The following is a 19,445-nucleotide window of genomic DNA, read 5'->3' as shown; positions in this document are numbered from 1 at the left end:
ATTTTTCACTACTGACAGCCATGAGCCACGATGTTCATTCTGTTGCATCCCATGAAATCAGGCTAAAATCATGCAATAGTGCAACTAGCTAAAGCAGTTAAATCATTCATCGGACCATAGCTGCCTAGGTTATGAAAATAGAGTAAACACAGGAAGCAGGGCACTAAATATGTAGTAATCATTGTTCCCAAATTTAATAAGTCATGATTATAAAAACATTCAAAGCTAACACTTATGTGGAATGTATTACAAAGCAGTTATGGAGCTAAGCATTTTATGCATTATCACATTTAATCATTGGAATGACTCAAAGTATAGGCATATTTATTTTCTTCACTTTATAGAAAGAACAGCTATGACTTGGAGACACTGAAAAAATTGACTAAAATGATGAAGCTAGAAAGGGGGAAAGAATGTATGATTTTAGTTTGTAAACCTGTCTTTTAAAATGGTTGAAAATAACACTGTTATTCAAGCTTATGACGTCCAACTTAAAATCCCAAGCTTCTAAAAACTGTCCAAACAGATACTCAGTGAGAATGAATGATGATGCTTCCATCCATAGAATTATTTTAATATAATCATAGCATGTTCTATTTCTGGTTAAAGCATGTCAGGAACTTTAAATAAACAAGGGGTAAACTTTTAAGAAAACATCTAATGTACCATGCATTATTGTTCTGAAACTGATTGCACTCAGAAAATGGATACAGAGAGCAATTATATACACCAAATATAAAAATTAGTAATAATGCAACCAAAGGTCTTAGAAAAATGAGTGGTGGACACTTAGTATAGACACAATGAATCATGGAAATTATTAAATCGTAACCATTTTTTATAGAAAATGTCTTTCTTTAGTGAAGAAATGGTCATCTTTGGCCTACTGTTTCCAGGTCTTTAAATCACTACGTACTTTTATCTAAGAAGCAGTAATTTATAGATGAAAGAGCCAATAACTAAAAGTATATGTTCTGCTGATGCAGCATAGAAGACAGGAAATGTAAGTTAGAAGTCTTGCAGGCTTTAAAAATAGTAACCCAAGTGGGCTTTACACAGCGGGGTAATACAAAACAAATACAACACTAGTGGTATCAAAGAAATGAAATAATCTCTCTGAGGAAGTAAGTTATTTTGCAATTTGCAAACCATTCAACACATTATAACTTTCAGAAACTATAAGGTAATACAGAGTTGGAGAGGTTCATGTTCGTAAAATGAGGTTTAGTTCATAATAAGACATATGCAACTTGTAATCCTCACAATGCAAAACAAAACAGCACCTAAATAATAGAACTTGTGGGAAAAATTGATTCTAGGAAGTTCACTCAAAACATATGCAACTTTGGGAGTATATTGCTAGCAAAAATAATATTGGCACCTCAGAAAATAATTTGGACCACTCAAGGAAGTGACTCAGAATTACATAAAAAAATAATTGGGTATAAATGCTGGCAACACTTTAACCAGAATTGGTGGAAGAAATCCGGTTGGAAGGCAAACTCCAAGCCAGTAGGCTTGCCATTGAAATGGGTACAGGGTCAGGGCAACTGCAAATATTTAAGAGCTGCACAAGGCCAGGGGCATGCCCCTTTGAAGAGGAAGCCCCAGATGCAGGCATTCATTTTTGTTTTTGTTTTTAGTTTTCTTAAAACTGAGCCAAAAGGGCTCCTGCTGACTATACAACATTCAAACTGAGGGCTTCTTTGCCCACCCAAGGTTATAATTCTACGCTGACTATTCTGCTTCCCTTTGCCTAGAATAAATTGTATATAAAGCTACACAACTTCTGCATTATACTAGTACAAAATTCCTGTTTGCCAATTACAAATGAGCTCATTGGTATTTTGGAAACATGCATTGGAGGAGAATGTATCGTAATTCCTGGAACAATTAGATTGAAAAAAAAGGATTCACATTCAATAAGATGTCTTTTCACTTTGAAATACCTTTTGCATATTAGGCAATATCTTTCACTCTGACTGAAATATAAGATGGTATTAGTAGCCACTGTCAACTAATTTTTTGCAGTAATATCTACCACCAAAAGCAACAAAACCAAACTAACTTACTATAAAAAATGTGCTTTGTGCCAGGAGTTGTCATCTCAATTTATCTTAAAAGAACCACACCGTTTTGAGACCTAGGAGACAAAGGCACCGAGAAAGTAAAAAATTAGCTTACGGTCACTGATACCTTGTAGATGAAGTTCAAAATGAGGTTTTACAAACTGAGTTCAACAAACCAGATGTGATGGTGACCTGAGTGCTTACTAAAATATAGATGATTGTATTCATCTCGAACCCACTGTGTTAGTCCATTTGTGCTACTATAACAGAATATCTAAAACTGGGTAATTTATAAATAACAACAGATTTGCTTCTTACAGTTCTGGAGGCTGGGAAGCATAAGAGTGAGGGGCCCATATGTGGTGAGGGTCTTCTTGCTGCATCTACCCATGGTGGAAGGCAGAAGAGCAAGAGAGCACTCATATAAGAGAGACAGAAAGGGCCAAGCTCGCTTTTATAACGGATTATACTCTCATGATAATCCCACTTCCACAATAACATTAATCCATGTATGAAGTTAGTGTTCTCATGGCCTACTCACCTTTTAATGTCTCCATCTCTTAATACCATTCACAATGCCAACTAAATTTCAACATGAGTTTTTGGAGGGGATGCAAAACTCATGTTGAAACCATCACGAGGGAGAGGGAAAGGTCTGAGAGTCATATTTAAGCGAATTGATTCTTCTAAAAACTAGAATTTAAGATCTGTAAATTATAGGATTTGTAGTTTGATAGTTCAGACAATGGGCTGTAAAGTGGGACTGCTTAAAAGCAAATCTCTGCTTCCTTACTTCCTAGTTATATGAATTTGGAAGTTGCTGTGTCTCAGTTTCATCATCTATAAAATGGAGTAAAAAAATAATTATTCTTCCTTCACAGGGGTGCTGTGAGAATTAAAGGAAGTAAATGTATGATGTTGTTAAGATAGTTTTCCACATAGTAAGTGTTCAATAAATGTTAGCTCTAAATGTTACAGGAAATACAGTCATGAGAATTAGAAAGATAAAGTCATGAAGCCTAATATGGTCATGATCATAAGGATTAATAGGACTGAACTCAGGAAAAAATCCTGAAAATTAAAATGAAATAAATTGGTTGTCATTTTATTCCTATCAAATTTAACAGGAAAAGTGGCAATGACCTTTGAAATACCTTCTAAAGCTAAGCTGGAGTTTTAGGCAATAAGAGAGTTCCAACCTGGCTAAATTTTAATATCAGTAATTTAAAAAAATAAGTAATAAAATCTCATAAAATGGCAACTTGCAAACCACGATTTTTAAGAAAGAGTAAGAGAAAAAATATTCAACTGTCAACACAAAATCATGCTTGCTGAAAGGAAAAATATGATTTGATAGTCAACTCTGATATTTGCTAAAATTGTAGAAAAGCCACATTACTTTTTTTTTTTTTTTTTTTTTTTTTGGAGACAGAGTCTTGCTCTATCCCCTAAGCTGGAGTAACTATATTTCATGATCTCAGTTCACTGCAACCTCTGCCTCCCGGGTTCAAGCGATTCTCATGCCTCAGCCTCCCAAGCAGCTGGGATTACAGGCGCCTGCCACTACGCCTGGCTAATTTTTGTATTTTTAGTAGCGACAGCTTTTCGCCAGGGTTTCGCCATGTTGGCCAGACTGGTCTCGAACTCCTGATCTCAGGTGATCTGCCCGCCTTGGCCTCCCAAAGTGCTGGGATTACAAGCGTGAACCACTGTGCCTGGTCTCACATTCCTATTTTTAACAGCTTGATTGAAGTGGAATTTACATATAAGTAAAAATTCAACAAATATAAGGAAATAATTCAATGTGGCCAGTACCACTATCAAGATGTAGAATATTCCCTTCATTCAAAATGTTCTCTCATGCCTACCGTAGATAATGTCTCACTCTCAACACAGGCAATGTCTGAAGTGACTTCTAACGCTAGTTTTGCCTTTTCTAGAATTTCATAGAAATGAAATCATTCAGTATTTTCGTTTTTGGCTGTTTTCACTTAGCATAATGCTTTTGAGATTTATCCATGTGTTATATGTAACATTAGTTCTTTCTTTTCTATGGCTCAAATGCATTCCATTGTTTGAATATGGCACAATTCGTTTATGCATTTATCTGGTAAAGGACCCTTGATTTGTTTCCAGTGTGGGAAAGTTCTATAATTTTTTGGGGGGAGGGGGACAGAGTCACGCTCTGTCACCCAGGCTGGAGTGCAGTGGTGTGATCTCGGCTCACTACAACTTCAGCCTCCTGGGTTCTAGCAATTCTCGTGCCTCAGCCTCCTGCGTAGCTTGGACTACAGATGTGCACCATCTGTATTTTTAGTAGAGACAGGGTTTCACCATATTGGCTAGGCTGGTCTCGAACTCCTGACCTCAAGTGATCCACCTGCCTTGGCCTCCCAACGTACTGGGATTACAGACTTGAGCTACATTGCCTGTCCCTATAAATATTTATATCTGTCTTATGTTGATATTTATTTTATTTTCTCATGGACAAATAACTCAAAGGGTATCTCTGAGTCATTTGATAACTATATATTTGTGTAAGCATGTGCCACACTATTTTCCAAAACATACCATTCTGAACTCCCACTAGCAATGTATGAGAGGTCCAGTTGCTCCACATACTCTATACTTCATATCTTCAGTCTTTCATTTTAGCCATTCTACTCAGGAGTAGGGGTGTATCATTGCAGTTTTAATTTGAATTTTTCTAATAATTTATTGATGTTGATTATCTTTTCATGTGTGTGCTTGTCATTCATATATCATCTTTGGTGAAATATCTGTCAAAAACTCTTGCCCACTTTTTGTTTGTCTCATTATTACTGAGTTTTATCAACAATTATTTATATATTTCGGTATAGGTCCTATCTTAGATATATATTTGAATAGATTTTGTCCTAGTCTTCAGCTTGCTTTTTGTTAGAAGATGATTCTCCATATATCTCTCAAACTTTTGCAGTCTTGTGAGTGGGGGTCCTAAATGTCCCTTTGTGCTAAACTACTTTTTCAAGGATTTTGATTAGTGTCTAGTGTCATCTTTCCGTTCTTTCAACTTTATCTGTATCTTTATAAAGTGGATTCTTAGTAGGTGACACATATTTCATTTTATTCTTCTGTTTCCTCTAGGATTTACTATATAAACCATTAACTTATTAGAATATGCCTTCAAATTACATTATGCCACTTTAGATATAATTTACAAACCTCACAGTATTTAATTTTACATTCCTGTTCACTTTCTTGTGCTACTGTTAGCATACGTTTTCTTCTACATATATTAACATAGCACATTATTTTGTTCTATTATCAATTCTGTTTTAAAAATTAAAAACTGAATAATCTTTATATTTATCCACATAATTTCCATTTCTGGTGCTCTTCTTTCCTTTGCTTAGATGCAAATTTTTATCTGGTATCATTTTCCTTTTATAAACAACCTTTTATAACATTTTTCAAATTGCAGATTTGCTGGCAATTAACTGTCTCAGCTTTTGTTTGGCTAAAAAAGAGTTTGCTTTGCCTCCGTTTTTGAAAGAATTATTTTCTGGGTACAAAATTCTTAGTTAACAATTTTTCTTCTTCAGTAAAGATGCCACACCATTGTATTTTCCCTTGCATAGTTTCTAAGAAGTCCATCACATGTCTGATCTTTGTTCCTTTCTATGTATCCTGACTGTATTATCCAACTTCTGATAAGATATTCTTTATCACTAATTTTAGCTATTTGATTTTCTTTGTTGTTGTTGTTGTTGTTGTTGTTGTTGTTTTTGAGACGGAGTCTTGTTCTCTCACCAGGCTGGAGTGCAGTGGTGCAATCTTGGCTCACGGGAATCCCTGCCTCCTGGGTTCAAGCCATTTTGCTGCCTCAGCCTCCCAAGTAGCTTGGATTACAGGCACACACCACCACACCCAGCTAATTTTTGTGTTTTTAGTAGATACAGGGTTTTACCATATTGGCCAGGCTGGTCTCAAACTCCTGACTTCAGGTAATCCACCTTCCTCGGCCTCCCAAAGTGCTGGGATTACAGGTGTTAGCCACTGCACCTGGCCAGCAATTTTATTTTTTTAATGTTTTGTTCAGGTTGTGTTATGTTCATTGGACCTTTTTATAGTTTATATCAAATTTTGGAAACTTTTTAGTTTCTTCTAAACTTATTTTCTACCTCCCTCTTCCTTCTAGGGCTCCAATTATGTATGTTGGACCACCTGCTTTCATGCCACGGTTACTAATGCAATTAATTTTTCAAGGCTTTAAAAATCTTACTCTCGGCCGGGCGCAGTGGCGCATGCCTGTAATCCCAGCACTTTGGGAGGCCAAGGCGGATGGATTGCCTGAGCTCAGGAGTTTGAGACCAGCCTGGGCAACATGGTGAAACCCTGTCTCTACTAAAAATACAAAAAAAAAAAAAAAAAAAAAAATTTAGTTGGGCGTGGTGGCATGCGCCTGCAGTCCCAGCTACTCGGGAGGCTGAGACAGGAGAATCACTTGAACCCGAGAGGCGGAGGTTGCAGTCAGCCAAGATTGTGCCACTATACTCCAGCCTGGTGACAGAGTGAGACTCTGTCTAAAAAAAAATTTACTCTCTGTGCTTCATTTTGCATTCACATAACTTCTATTACTGTTTCCAAGTTCATTAATCTTTACCTCTATATTATTTAATCTGTTGTAATCCTGTCTCATGTATTTTTAATTCACACACTATACTTTTTCATCTCTAGGAGTTCCATTTGGGTGTCTTTTCTTTCTTCCATGTCTCTCCTTATCACATTTGTTTTTCTACCTTCTTGAACATATGGAGCATATTTATAATAGTTGTTTTAACAACAACTTGTCTGCTAATTCCATCACCTCTGCCATTTCTTAAGTATGTTTCCATTAATGGATTTTTTTCCCTCCTGGATATGAGTCATGTCACATTGCTTTTTAACATGCCTGGTAATATTTTACTAGATGGTAGACATTTTGAATTGTACACTTGTATACTGGATTTCAAGTAGGATTTGATTTTGTAATGGCACATAGTTAAGTAGCTTTTGAGCATTTTAAATAAATTGTTAAAGAAGGTACAGATCTGATTGCCTAGAGCTAATTTTGCACCATTTGTAAAGAAATACAATTTTGTGAATCTAACACACACCTTGTGGTCTTTTCACTCTGGCTGGGGAAAACGTCAACTATTCCCAACCTTGTGTGAGTGCTAGCAATTATTTCTCATACTTCTTTCTGCTGGTCCTTTCTCTGGCATTTGCTTGTTTCCTCTATAAGTCCTCTGTCAAAGATTAGAAGAAACATCTCTGTAAGTCTCCAGTGCTCATCCTCATTCTCTCCTATCTCTTTGTATCTCTCTCTGTGTCTCTCTGTCTGTTTATCTATCTCATTTTATCTTTCTCTCTCTCTCTCTGCAGTTCCTTCTTTTCTGGTACTTTGGCTCCAAAATTTTAGCCCTTGAGGCTTTCCTAAACTTTGATCTCTATTTCTAAGGGTCAGCAAAACTTCTGAACTCTATTTGGGTTCTCCATCTCTACTCTGTGGTCTGGATATTGCCTCCAGGAAGTCAACTAGCACAGTTGTAAGCTTTCCCCTTTGATTACCCTTCTTTCAGGAACCATTGTCCTGTATTGTCTATTGTCCAGTGGCTGAATAATATTGCTTTATATGCTTTTGTTCAGTTTATACTTAAGGTGGAGGGAAGTAAATATGATCCCTGTTAGTCTATAATAGAAGCAGAAGTAAAGAGTCAAATTATTAACTGTTCTTTTTTTTCCAATCCATTCTGAAATTGTATTGTGCATTATCACTTTCACATTCGACCTTAAGAACCTTCATTTTTTAAAATTATCCTTCATCCAGGTAAGAACTTCCCTTAAACCCCAGAGAATAAATGACTCGTACTAACAAGTTGCAAAATGTTTGAATGATTTGAATAGATTGTCTTCAGGACTAATGAGGAAATTTAAATAATAAAAAATAAGATATGATATACTGAGCATGAAGTTTATTATCCAGGCCTGGCTTCACTGAGGAAATTTAAAGAATAAAAAATAAGATAAGATATACTGAGCATGAAGTTAAAACTATTCTCCAGACCTGGCTTCTAACACATAAGACACTAAGATCTGTTTTAGAATTTTTCTTACCAGTATTCCCACTGAAATCATTTTTTCAGATATCTCAGAAAAAAATGGATGCATAAAGAAGTATTAGGTATACTCTGCTCATACAGTGTATTTGTGGGCACAAGGGGCAATATGCCAAGATGTGTCTTTATTGTGGTATTGAATCAGTCAAAAGAAAGGTAAACTAGCTGGCTAAAACATAAAAGCAGGTGATGAGTACAAGGGATTAAATAGTAAGACAGCTAACGGATTTTTAAAGAATGCACACAATGTCCACCTAAAACGAGGAACTTCTCAGGAGAGGTGGAAATTGTTTATATATGCTCTATGACATGCATTTACTACCCTACAGGCTTCTTTACAACATGCTACTGATAGAGTTAGTTGAGCAAATAAAATTTATCAAATTCAGAGGGTCTCTTAACCATAAAGTATAATGAAAAGCAAATGTAGTCAGCTTTGGAATGGCATTGCATGTTAATACCCTTGCTTCCAGGATATCAGCTCCCCGAGTGAAAAAAAATACACATCTGGAAAAAGGACAACTATTCCATTAAAACAAAATCATTGGATATTCTTGCCAGATAAATTTCAGTGTTCCAGTAAGACAGCAGACCCTTAAAAATCCAAATGAATGCTAAAAAAATGCAACCTAAAAAAACAGTTATGCTTGAAAGAACTATTCTTGTTGGAATATGGGTACACAAATATACTGTGTTATAAAAAGATGAAGACATCTCAAACAAGTTTTAACAGTTTGGTCCTGGGAAATGCGGCCAAAAATGTTGAGATGTAACAATGTATAATAACAGTGTTTTATAAAGGTATCATTTTCACTACTGCTTCCTTTCCAATTTTCTTATTTTCACATATTTTTGAAGCTTATATACAAATAAAATTGGCTAAAACATAAAAGAGTGGCACACCAAAGCCAAGCCATTCAAAAGGTATCATAAAAATGTCATTTGCAATGGTTGTAACTTGTAATTGTGAAAGATTTATAGGATCACTTGGAATACTGCACATTTTCACATCCCAAGCACCATGTAACCATTGCTCTTACCCCTTCAGAATCCACATGTTAACCATCTCCTGCTTTATTGCAGATATTCTAAGGATGCATTAGGTTTCGTTCAGGGATTGAGAGTAAATCTTTTCTTAAACATTTAAACTTTATTCTTATATTTTAACACAGGGTAACACTATAATTAGCCTATGATTTTAATCTAAGTAATGAGTTAAAGTAATTGCTGCCTGTAATCAGTTCCAGTTCCCAGTTCCAGTACAGGTTCTAAACTTCAGATCTAACTAACATCCAGATCCTTTCTAGGAACCACCCAGAAAAGCTACCCCATCAATAGCTTCAAAAATTTGTCTTTTTCAGATCATGCAGCATTTTACTAGGAACTCTGAGGATATTTCAAAACAGCTGTGTGTGTGTGTGTGTGTGTTTGTGCGAACATGTGTGTGTGTACATGTGTGTGTGTGATGGGCAGAGACAGATAATAAGAAAGAGAGAGAGGAATATTGAGAGATTCAGCTAGATACCTCTTTTTCAACCTACCTGAAGTCATAAAAAAGAATAGGAAATTAGAAAGTATGATAATGAAAACATAAGATCTGATTATGACTCTTCTATTATTTTGTGTAATTTATTCAGTGCTGGGTCTATATTTAGTAAGTATAAATAAAATATAGTCACTTTAAGGAAATCTTATGGCACCATTTAAAAAGGCAGCAACATAAAATTACATATACATTATTAATATCTGCTTATTCCACTGAACAAAACCAGTGATGCAGAGTCAACAACCACTTGAGGTTGTAGTGCTTGTCACACACACACTGGTAGAGTGTGCGATCTTCCCAGCTATATGCAATGGTCATGTTTTTAATAGCCCAGACATAAAATGAGACCATTAACTGGAAAACCACATCTCTCTGTCAGACATTGCAATGGTTTGAATGTTTTTGTCACCTTCAAATTTCATGTTGAAACTTAATCCTCAATGCAACAATATTGGCGGTTGTGGCCTTTGGAAAGTGATTGAATCGTGAGGGCTCTGCCCTCATGAATGGGATTAGGTGCCTTTATAAAAAGACTTGATGGAGGGAGGTCGCCCCTCTCTTGCCTTTCCACCTTCTAACATATGAAGATGCAGCCAGAAGACCCTCACCAGATGTCAGTGCCTTGATCTAGGATTTCCTAGGCTCTAGAACTATGGGATATAAATTCCTGTTCTTATAGAAATTACCAGTCTGTGGTACTCTGTTATAACAGCACTAATGGACTAAGACAGGCATCTAATACATTAGATTCAGAAATATATAGAAACCTACTATAAAAGATGCAAAGTGATCAAAAAGTCTACGTAAACCCTTCAAAGTTTTCCTTTCCTTTTTTATCTGCTTCTTACCAGAATAGTGCGTGTGCACACACACACACACACACACTTCAATTTATTGACATTTTATTCTCTACTGACCTCACTGTCCATTTTCTTTAGCCAATCATTTTTCTTAGAAGAATGTTAATTTCCATATATGCATTCCCCTTTACTTCCATATTATCATAGTCTCAAGAGTTCCTTTTCATGAAATTTCACAATGATTTCTGACAGCAACAGAAGTAGTTGCCGAGCTCTTTCTTGCATATACCCTGCTTATTGGTTTTACGAACCACACATATGTTGCCCTAAAATATCTTTCTCGTTCCTGTTTTAAATGTGTGGACCATGAGAATTGGTGAGTAATAAAGCATAATGTTGAAAAAGCAGAATAGATTTCTGTAAATATGATTTTTCATGTAAAATTTTGTATCATTATCAACATAAGATATATATGAGGAACTTCTTCACTTTTCCTGTGTCCATATTGTCTTGCTAAATATTTTCATAAAACATTTCATTTTTAATCCCCTCCTCAATGCTTTCCCACTGTATTTGTAAGATTTAGGGTATAGAGCAACGGTGAGAGTAGAAAAAAATGGACAACTAAATTTGGCATCTAAAACTTAACTCTTATTTTACTTTATTCACTAGCTACATTTTAGTGAATTGAAGAAGTTTCACAAACTTCAAAGAAATGAGAATAAAGGAAAATTTGTAGATAACCTTTAAGTAATTAGTGACATACTAGATTTTCACCTAAAGAAGTTTGTACCCTGAGGGACCTCAGCTTAAAATCCTCATTATTAGTCAATGCTTGTACTTTCAGAATGTTTAGCATACTTATATTATAGTTATGTTAATATTCAGTTGAGACGTGAAGAAAAAGGGGATGAGTGAAGGGTAAACGTGAAAAATCTTATAAAGTTCCTATTGTTCTCATAAAACGTTCCCAGTAACACCTATTGCACGCATGAGTCCTCTTCTTCCTAATTTCTACAATAGCTGTGAGAAGATTTAAAATCCAGCAGTTTCCTTCTCACTGATAGATATATTTTTAGTCATTGGAAATGCATGTAATGCATTTTAATATTATTAAAGAAAGAAGTTTGCATAGCCAAAATTAAAAGGAATAAAGTTCATCAGATTTGCTGAAAATGGGATGGGCTGAAATCTATCAACAACTAGCATAATTAATATTACATATAAATGTGTAATATATACAATCCGGGAAATGAGCTATTTGTTTACTTTTAAAAGAATCTGACTTGGTCATTAATTAAACTTGGAATACTAATTAATACATTTATTTTCATATTCTTTATATAAGTAAAAGAAAATCTCTCACATATATTTCTGGAATAGAAAGAACAAAAATTGATTTCCTCAAATGCAGAATCGACGCAATATTAAATGTGAACGATGAGCGGTAATTTGTTATGCGTTTCCTCCCCTCTAAACACTTTTCTAATGGAGACCATCAGATACTAACCTGGATTATTGTAAATGCATTGATTTCCTCCAGACTTCCCTAACATTTACATGAGGTCATTGAAAGCAAAGTATGTTAGCAATCACATACCCCTCATCCCTGCAAAGACACTGCCAACTTTCCACACTTTCTGTCAAAAACAGGCAAACCAAACCAAACCAAACAAAACAGAAAACTTTGAGCAAACATAAATGGAAAGTTTTGTAATTCTAACGTGATGGGATGGATTCTTCTCCCATAAAAACAATTTCCCTGTTTCTTACTAAACATTAAAATTGCTCATTAGAGACTATATCATTTTCATAGGACAGTTTTAAAAATCATGACTTAATGCATGTACATTCTAGGAGTTTTATTTCTGCAAACTCTTTCTATAATAATGGTATATTTGCACTCTCAACGGTACAGACCTCAGATTCTTATGAAATAAAATATTTGTGATTTATAGGATAATAACTTTAGGGAAAATAAGTTCAGTTGCATGGCTTACTAAGTATTGGTTAAATTATTAAACTTGCATTTTCCTTAAATTGTTTTTGTTTATATTCATCAGGAAGAAATCCTTTCCTCCTCTCTTCCACCTATCCCACCTATCCCTCCAAAAAGCTAGTTTATACATATATTTATATCATCACACTTTAGCTTCTACTTTATTGGCTTATTGTATCTTTTATCTCAAAAGTACTATCTCAATAGCACAAAGTAACTAGTGGCAAAATCAAGTTCTAGAGAGGCAGACATTTTCCTTCATGTTGTTAGAGGAACTACATAAAAATATTTTCTGACAGGTGAAAGATGCTTAGGAACACATTTATCCAGCTGAATTTACCTTTGAGGATTAAAATTAGATAAATAGGAGACCAGTGGGGATTTTTCCCCAACAGCTTGCATCTATCAGCTGGGTGTTAAGAGCTATCTTACATAACGAGCATATGGTGACCATAACTGCTACAGTGTACATAAACAAGAAAAATAATTTTAAAAAGCCACAAAATTATAATAAAAGTGAAATGACCATTTAATTACACATCTGGCAGTGTTAAGAGCTTCTGAAAAGAAGAAAATGCTTTGCTAGAGAAACCTCAGGTGAAGTTAACATTTGCATCTGCAGTTTAAAAAAAAAAGCATAGTTTGGTCTTGACGGAATCACTAGAAGAACTTGGCAGAGCATTTTAATCAACAAACGACTCTGTCAAGGAAACTTTAAATTAAAAAAAAACTTCTTATATTAAGTAAACTCAGCAGCTATTTCTTTTGAGATTTTCTCCAGAGGATTTGATTTAAACAAAGCATCTCTGGCAAAGAGCAGGGCTTATTATTCTGCAGAATATTCAATAGAAGTATAAAATTACAAGTGAATCTTACAGAGGGTGTGGCAATTCCAAACCTAAAACTGTCTGCTCCATTTAGATAAGCCTTAAAGCTTGCTTGCTCTCATTTTCTCTTTCCCATTTATATTTTATTGATGCCATTTCTTCCTCAGCATCTGAGCCCTAGCAAGGATCCTTCCATAAAGTGATCACCAAAGTGTATGCAGTAAGTAAGGATTAAAGGTCAACAGATATCCACCAGAAGATAGAAAGAGGATAATAGATTGGAAAATAGAATAAAAAGTCAAAATGAAAAAGAACTACCAGAGTTTGACAGTTGCAGATAAAATACCAGCCGTGCAGCCACACCTTTGCCCAATTCAATTTGTCAATAAGGAAGAATTCTTAGAGTTAACATATACATGGCACTTTACTGTTCTCTCTGAACGGCAAGCTTTAAATGTTCCCTGGAAAGCTTATCCTGCCATAGTTTAGGAATCACAAGGATGTTTAGAATTGAGCTAAAACATAAAGTCCTAAACCAACACTATTTATTTCAAGTAACTTTTGCATTTCTGCATATTGATATACGATTTTTTTTCTCTCTGGTTTAGGGAAGCAGAGGTAAAGGAGTGACAGATGATAAAAAAGAGTAAACATGGAGGTAAATGGCACAACACATTGAATCCATAAGTGATGTCCAAAGCCTATTAGCTGCATAGAGGTGGCCGCAGATGATAGCCGAGCACATGTGGAGTTCACAACCAAGCACCATGCAAGAAGGCTGCAGATAACAACACTTTTCAGAAGCTACCTGGTGGCTTTACCTGTGCTTTGCCTGGTAATTTGTGCTTGCATTGGATAAAGAACTTCTGGATAGTACTTAATAATTAACTCAAAGGAAAGAGAGTCAAATGACTTCATCTCAGAGACTATCTGACACTACTGTTCCAATACCAATCCTATTCAAACTGAAAGCAGTGACTTCCCATTTTCACTTTACTGGAGGCTGTCAAGTGTTCCTCTCTCTAAAAATGCACCTTCTGCTGTTACTGAGTTAAAACACTTATTTACACATTGATCATATCTGCAGGATGTTGAACAAGTCTGAAACTATGGATTAATCCATCATAAAATCATGGTCTATGTTTCCAGACCTTCTGTGTCTAGTATTTGTAACAGTCTTCATTCTTAACCCTTTCCAATGAATATAAAGTTTATCTCCCTTGAGCATTCCTTGCAATTATCCATGAATTTCCACCAATTCACCCTTAATTTTTTTCCCATCAGGCTTCTTCCTGCCTTTGAAATTCTATCTTGTATTTCCCAGTACTCCTGTTCTTAGCTCCCTGTCCTCTAAAATCATTTGATATATGATACCAGCTTGACATATAATAATGCATTTCAACTTCTAACCCTCCTCTGGTGCATACTCATATGAGGTTCCAAAAATACCATAAAATATTAATATAAAATTACCCAGTTTTCTTTAGGCATTAGGTTGTTGTTTTATTGGTATATCTAAAAGTTGCTAAGTACCACACCCAAGTTCTCATTTTGATAGATCATACTTGGCAATCTAAAAATTACAGTGTACTGTTCAGAAAGGATGTGGAGATGCGATGTCGGGAAAAAAAAGATTTGATGAATTATGACATCTCAGTAAGCCATGACCACATTTTATATTACAACTGTGATGGTCTAATATAAAGTGGTCATTATATGGACTATGATGTAATTTTAAAAGCTTCAACTTATTGGAGATGATACACATGATAATTTGGAAATGCATTCATCAGGAGCTATATCAGGATTTTTAAATGCATTATATTTAATTTGTTTAATCATAGTAGAGACCCTTAGCCTGCAAAAATATTTAGAAAAAAAAGTCAATATTTACTGTGTGCTCCTGAAAATCTATATGCTGTAATTCTAGTAATGAGAGAAAACAGTAGCATAATACCATAACAGTAACTTCACAGGGCAAGATATTCAAATTTCACCAAGAGGATTTCTAAAGTAATTGCAACACTGCTCACTCCAGTAGCCTCCTGATCAAGACAGACCCTCATGTGCTTCAATATAAACAGTATAAGTGACTGTAATCCCATCATTAAGACTATACTAAGTTAAATAGTTTGTCATGACCAAAATTACTATCTGCAAGTTATTTGCTTTTTGCTTTACCTATTTATTCAGCCTAAAAATTTTACTGGGGAATAATGAAGAATGTCTGACTTGTAGTGAATAGAGCCAGAACTAAAATTCAAGGACTGTGTAACCCTTCTGCCACTGGGGCTCACTCGCTGCTATCATACTTCTTTACTCTGATGATCAAGATAGTTTCATTTCCTGACAGTTTTCCAAGATTCCTCCATGAACAGTGCCAATGTAAGTGATGGTAAAGTCAGCATGTCTAGCAGCATATATTTCCACTCTTAGAAAAAAGAAAAAAATATCTCTTCCTCTCCTGAAACTGGGGCTGCACACTCAAGAAGATCTTGAAGTCCCCAACCTCACTGATTAACAGCAGTGTATTAATTAGTGTCTTAAAACCATGGACGAGGTGAAAAGCTTAGACACAGTCTGAACTTGGTTTAAAGTTGGCACATCCAGTATTTTACTTTTTGCTTGTTGTTGGTTTTTAATCACAGGTGAGTGCCACTGATGGGCAATTTCAGTCTAATTAAGGACGAAAGTAGGCCTGTGCTATTAAGGCCTACTTTCTCAGTTGACAAGCTGCTTCTCCACTGTCCCTCCCAAGGGATGTTTATTGTGCCCTTCTTTAACTGCCTCTGCTTACCACACATCAGCTGTTTTAATTGGCTCTAACCCAGCCATTCCCTTTGAATTCAACCTCCTCTCCTTATTGTTGTTTTCTTGGTGTAACATTTCAAATAAAGATCTCCATGGCTTTATTTATTTCTCTTTTAATTTGCATGGTATAGAGTTTGGTAGAATTAGAGTTCAATGTCAAACCACGGCAGAAAAGCAGAATATTTGATTTGGAGGCCACATCTTCTCGAATGATTCTTGTGAAATTTGTCATAGGGCAGAAAATGTTAGGAGATGTTGGGATGTTGTATCAACATTAGAGTTTTTTTTTTTCTCCACATACGAAGGGACATGAGTCTTCCTGGGCAATGATACATTTCCTCCTTTAGGAAATTAGGCTTGTGAGTGCCTGAGGAACTCTGGCAGAATATTCGATCAGTGGTCCTTTACTCTTAGTGAATCTCAGGATCACTTAGAGGGCTTGCCGAAACACAGATGCTGGGCTCCGCACCCCAGAGCCTCTGAAACAGTAGATGTGAGGTGCAGCCTGAGGATCTGCTTTTCTAACAAGTTCCTAAATGCTGCTACTAATGATGACATGGGGACACTACTCTGTGTATCAGTTTTGTAGTGAGCTACAAGGAGAAGAGCAAGAAAGAGGTTTACTTTTAAAAATCGCTGAGATGTATTTACATTAGATGCAAGAAAACCATACTGAAATAAATGAGGGCATTAAAGTATTAGAGTGTGCCACTCTTCACTAAAATATTTTAGATCAGTGACAGGCTCTAATCTTTTGAGTACTTGCTATTAGTCATATGAAGGAATCTAATGCCGACTGTGTGGTTTCTGACCCATCCTATCTTTTTGCTTCCTTATGAACAACTTTTTCTTAGATACACATTTATTCTGTTTGCCCTAAGCCCTTTTATTTTGATGGGTTTTTCTTTCTCTCAGGTTATTATCAATGAGATAGCTTTAGGATTTGGGATAGGCCCTCCAAGTATAAATATAGCTACTGGGAGGTGATGCAGAATTGCACAGAGAACTGCAGGATAAGTTAAATCAATGATATCTGGTGATCTGAATGACAGGAACTAATAGGCAATTTCTTCAGGGTCTTCTAAGATCAATTCCAGATTTGCTACTCTTCTCAAACTTAACATTCCTGGAAAAGCAATTTGACTCTTGAAACTTGGTTCACATCCCTACCCAACAACCTGGAAAGGCAGAGAACCCTGATATATAGTTCCACCAAGACAGTAATCAATTGCAGAATGGCTGGTTCTCCAAAGTAAAATGAGTGTACAATCAGCAAATGAATGAGTAATCAATGTTGAGCTGAGAAAATCACATTGTGTCCCCTACACATAGGTTCCTTGCTTGTATGTAAACTCTAACCAGGCACTGATGGGCTAAGAGTAATCCTATTACCTATAAGAATTTGGTGTCTTTTAGGCCAGGCATGATGGCTTACACCTGTAATCTCAGCACTTTGGGAGGCTGAGGCAGGTGGATCACTTGAGGCCAGGAGTTCAAAACCAGCCTGGCCAACATGGTAAAACCCCGTGTCTACTAAAAACATAAAAGCTAGGCATGGTGATGCATGCCTGTAATCCCAGCTACTTAGGAGGCTGAGGCATGAGAATCATTTGAACCTGGGAGGCAGAGGTTGCAGTGAGCCAAGATCATGCCACTGTACTCCAGCCTGGGTGACAGAGTGAGACTCTGTCTCTAAACTAATTAATTAATTAATTTGGTGACTTTTTATTTATAAACAATATCTGTGTCAATCCCTGAGATTTGCTCAATGATCAAGTGTGACTGTTATCACATTAGAAATTAAATTCCTGACCAGGTGCAGTGGCTCTCACTTGTAATCCTAGCACTTTGGGAGGCCAGGCGGGAGCGCCCTAGGTGAGCAGATCACCTAGGTCAGGAGTTCGAGACCAGCCTGGCCAGTGTGGTGAAACCTCATCTCTACTAACGAGACAAAAATTAGCCGGGCATAGTGGTAGGTGCCTGTAATCCCAGCTACTTGGAAGGCTGAGACAGGAGAATTGCTTGAACCCAGAAGGTGGAGGCTGCAGTGAGCCCCGAGATAGTGCCACACTGCACTCCAGCCTGGGCAACAGAGTGAGACTGTCTCAAAAAAATAAAAGTTAAAAAAAAAAAGAAAGAAATGAAATTCCTCAGTTTTTCATTGGGATTAAATCTTTGATCTCTGAAATGATAATGAAAGTTTAGAGGAGGGAAATGAAAGTCATTTAATAAACACTATTTTTTAAGTTATTTATTTGTTTCACTCATTAATTGGGTTTCCATCAGAGGGGGTTTTCTAAATGCTTTCAGTCCAAGGAGGGCATAAGGTCAGTTGAAGGAATAGAAGCTAAAGTTTGTCTCAATTAAATAATCTGAACAGCATGGAGTTTAGCAACAGGATATGGGCTGTTGTTTCAAAGTAGAGGCAAGTAAAGGAACACAGTAAAAAATAGAGCACATCTCACTGAGTAAAGAAATCCAAGAAGAATAGAATAAAATTATCTATGCTTATATTTATTCATTTGCTGAATACGATGAAGAAGTGTCAAGGGTGAAGGTAAATAAAAATATAGTGATGATGGAATCATGGCTGGCGATAGCAGGTTACCTTTTAAGGTGATAAAAATGGGAACTAGTTTGAGTTGGCAAATTCACAATATTGTGAATGTATTAATGTCACTGAATTGTTCACTTTAAAATGCTTAGTTTTGTGTTATGCTGTCTTATTTTACCCTACTCTCAGAAAATGCTTCTCTTCCTTCTTTCCACCTATCCACTTCTTTCCCTTTGTTTAGTGTCAATTTAATGCCATTGTCTTAAGACCTTCCTTGACAATTCCAACCCCAAGTTAACTTATTTGAATGCTTATGTTGTATTTTGTATTCATTCAGTCATTCAGTCAACAAGTGGTTATTAAACACTCACTATGTGTTGTGCATTATGTTAGGTGCTGGGAAAGCTTAGGTGAGCCCCTTCTGACAAATGTGGAAGATTAAATAAATTAGGTATATAATCAAACTAACAAGGCCTAGTATCAAACTTGAAAAAGTGCTTTGATAAAAAGAAATATTCCTTGAAAATGTACAACCAAATAATTTGACGGAGACTTGATGGTGGTGGAGGTGAAGAAAGGCTTCCCTTAATACATGCTTTATAATATACTCTCTTAACTATTAAGTCCTATAATTAGTCATTCCAACTAGATTTTAGGGTTCTGGAGGGCAGGGGCTTTTGTATGCTACAAAACCTGGTC

At 36.0% G+C, this 19,445-nt stretch overlaps 1 protein-coding gene across 7 annotated transcripts in view; it reads right to left on the bottom strand.

Annotated features, from left to right (window-relative positions):
* The window catches only part of NAV3 (neuron navigator 3), a 641,149-nt gene that overhangs the window by 382,281 nt on the left and 239,423 nt on the right, over nucleotides 1-19,445 (bottom strand). The window lies entirely within an intron of this gene.

The sequence above is a fragment of the Homo sapiens genome, chromosome 12, assembly GCF_000001405.40.
Source record: "Homo sapiens chromosome 12, GRCh38.p14 Primary Assembly".
NCBI classification, from domain to species: Eukaryota; Metazoa; Chordata; class Mammalia; order Primates; family Hominidae; genus Homo; species Homo sapiens.
Note: the sequence above shows the minus strand (reverse complement) of the source record. Positions and strands in the feature narration are given on the sequence as shown.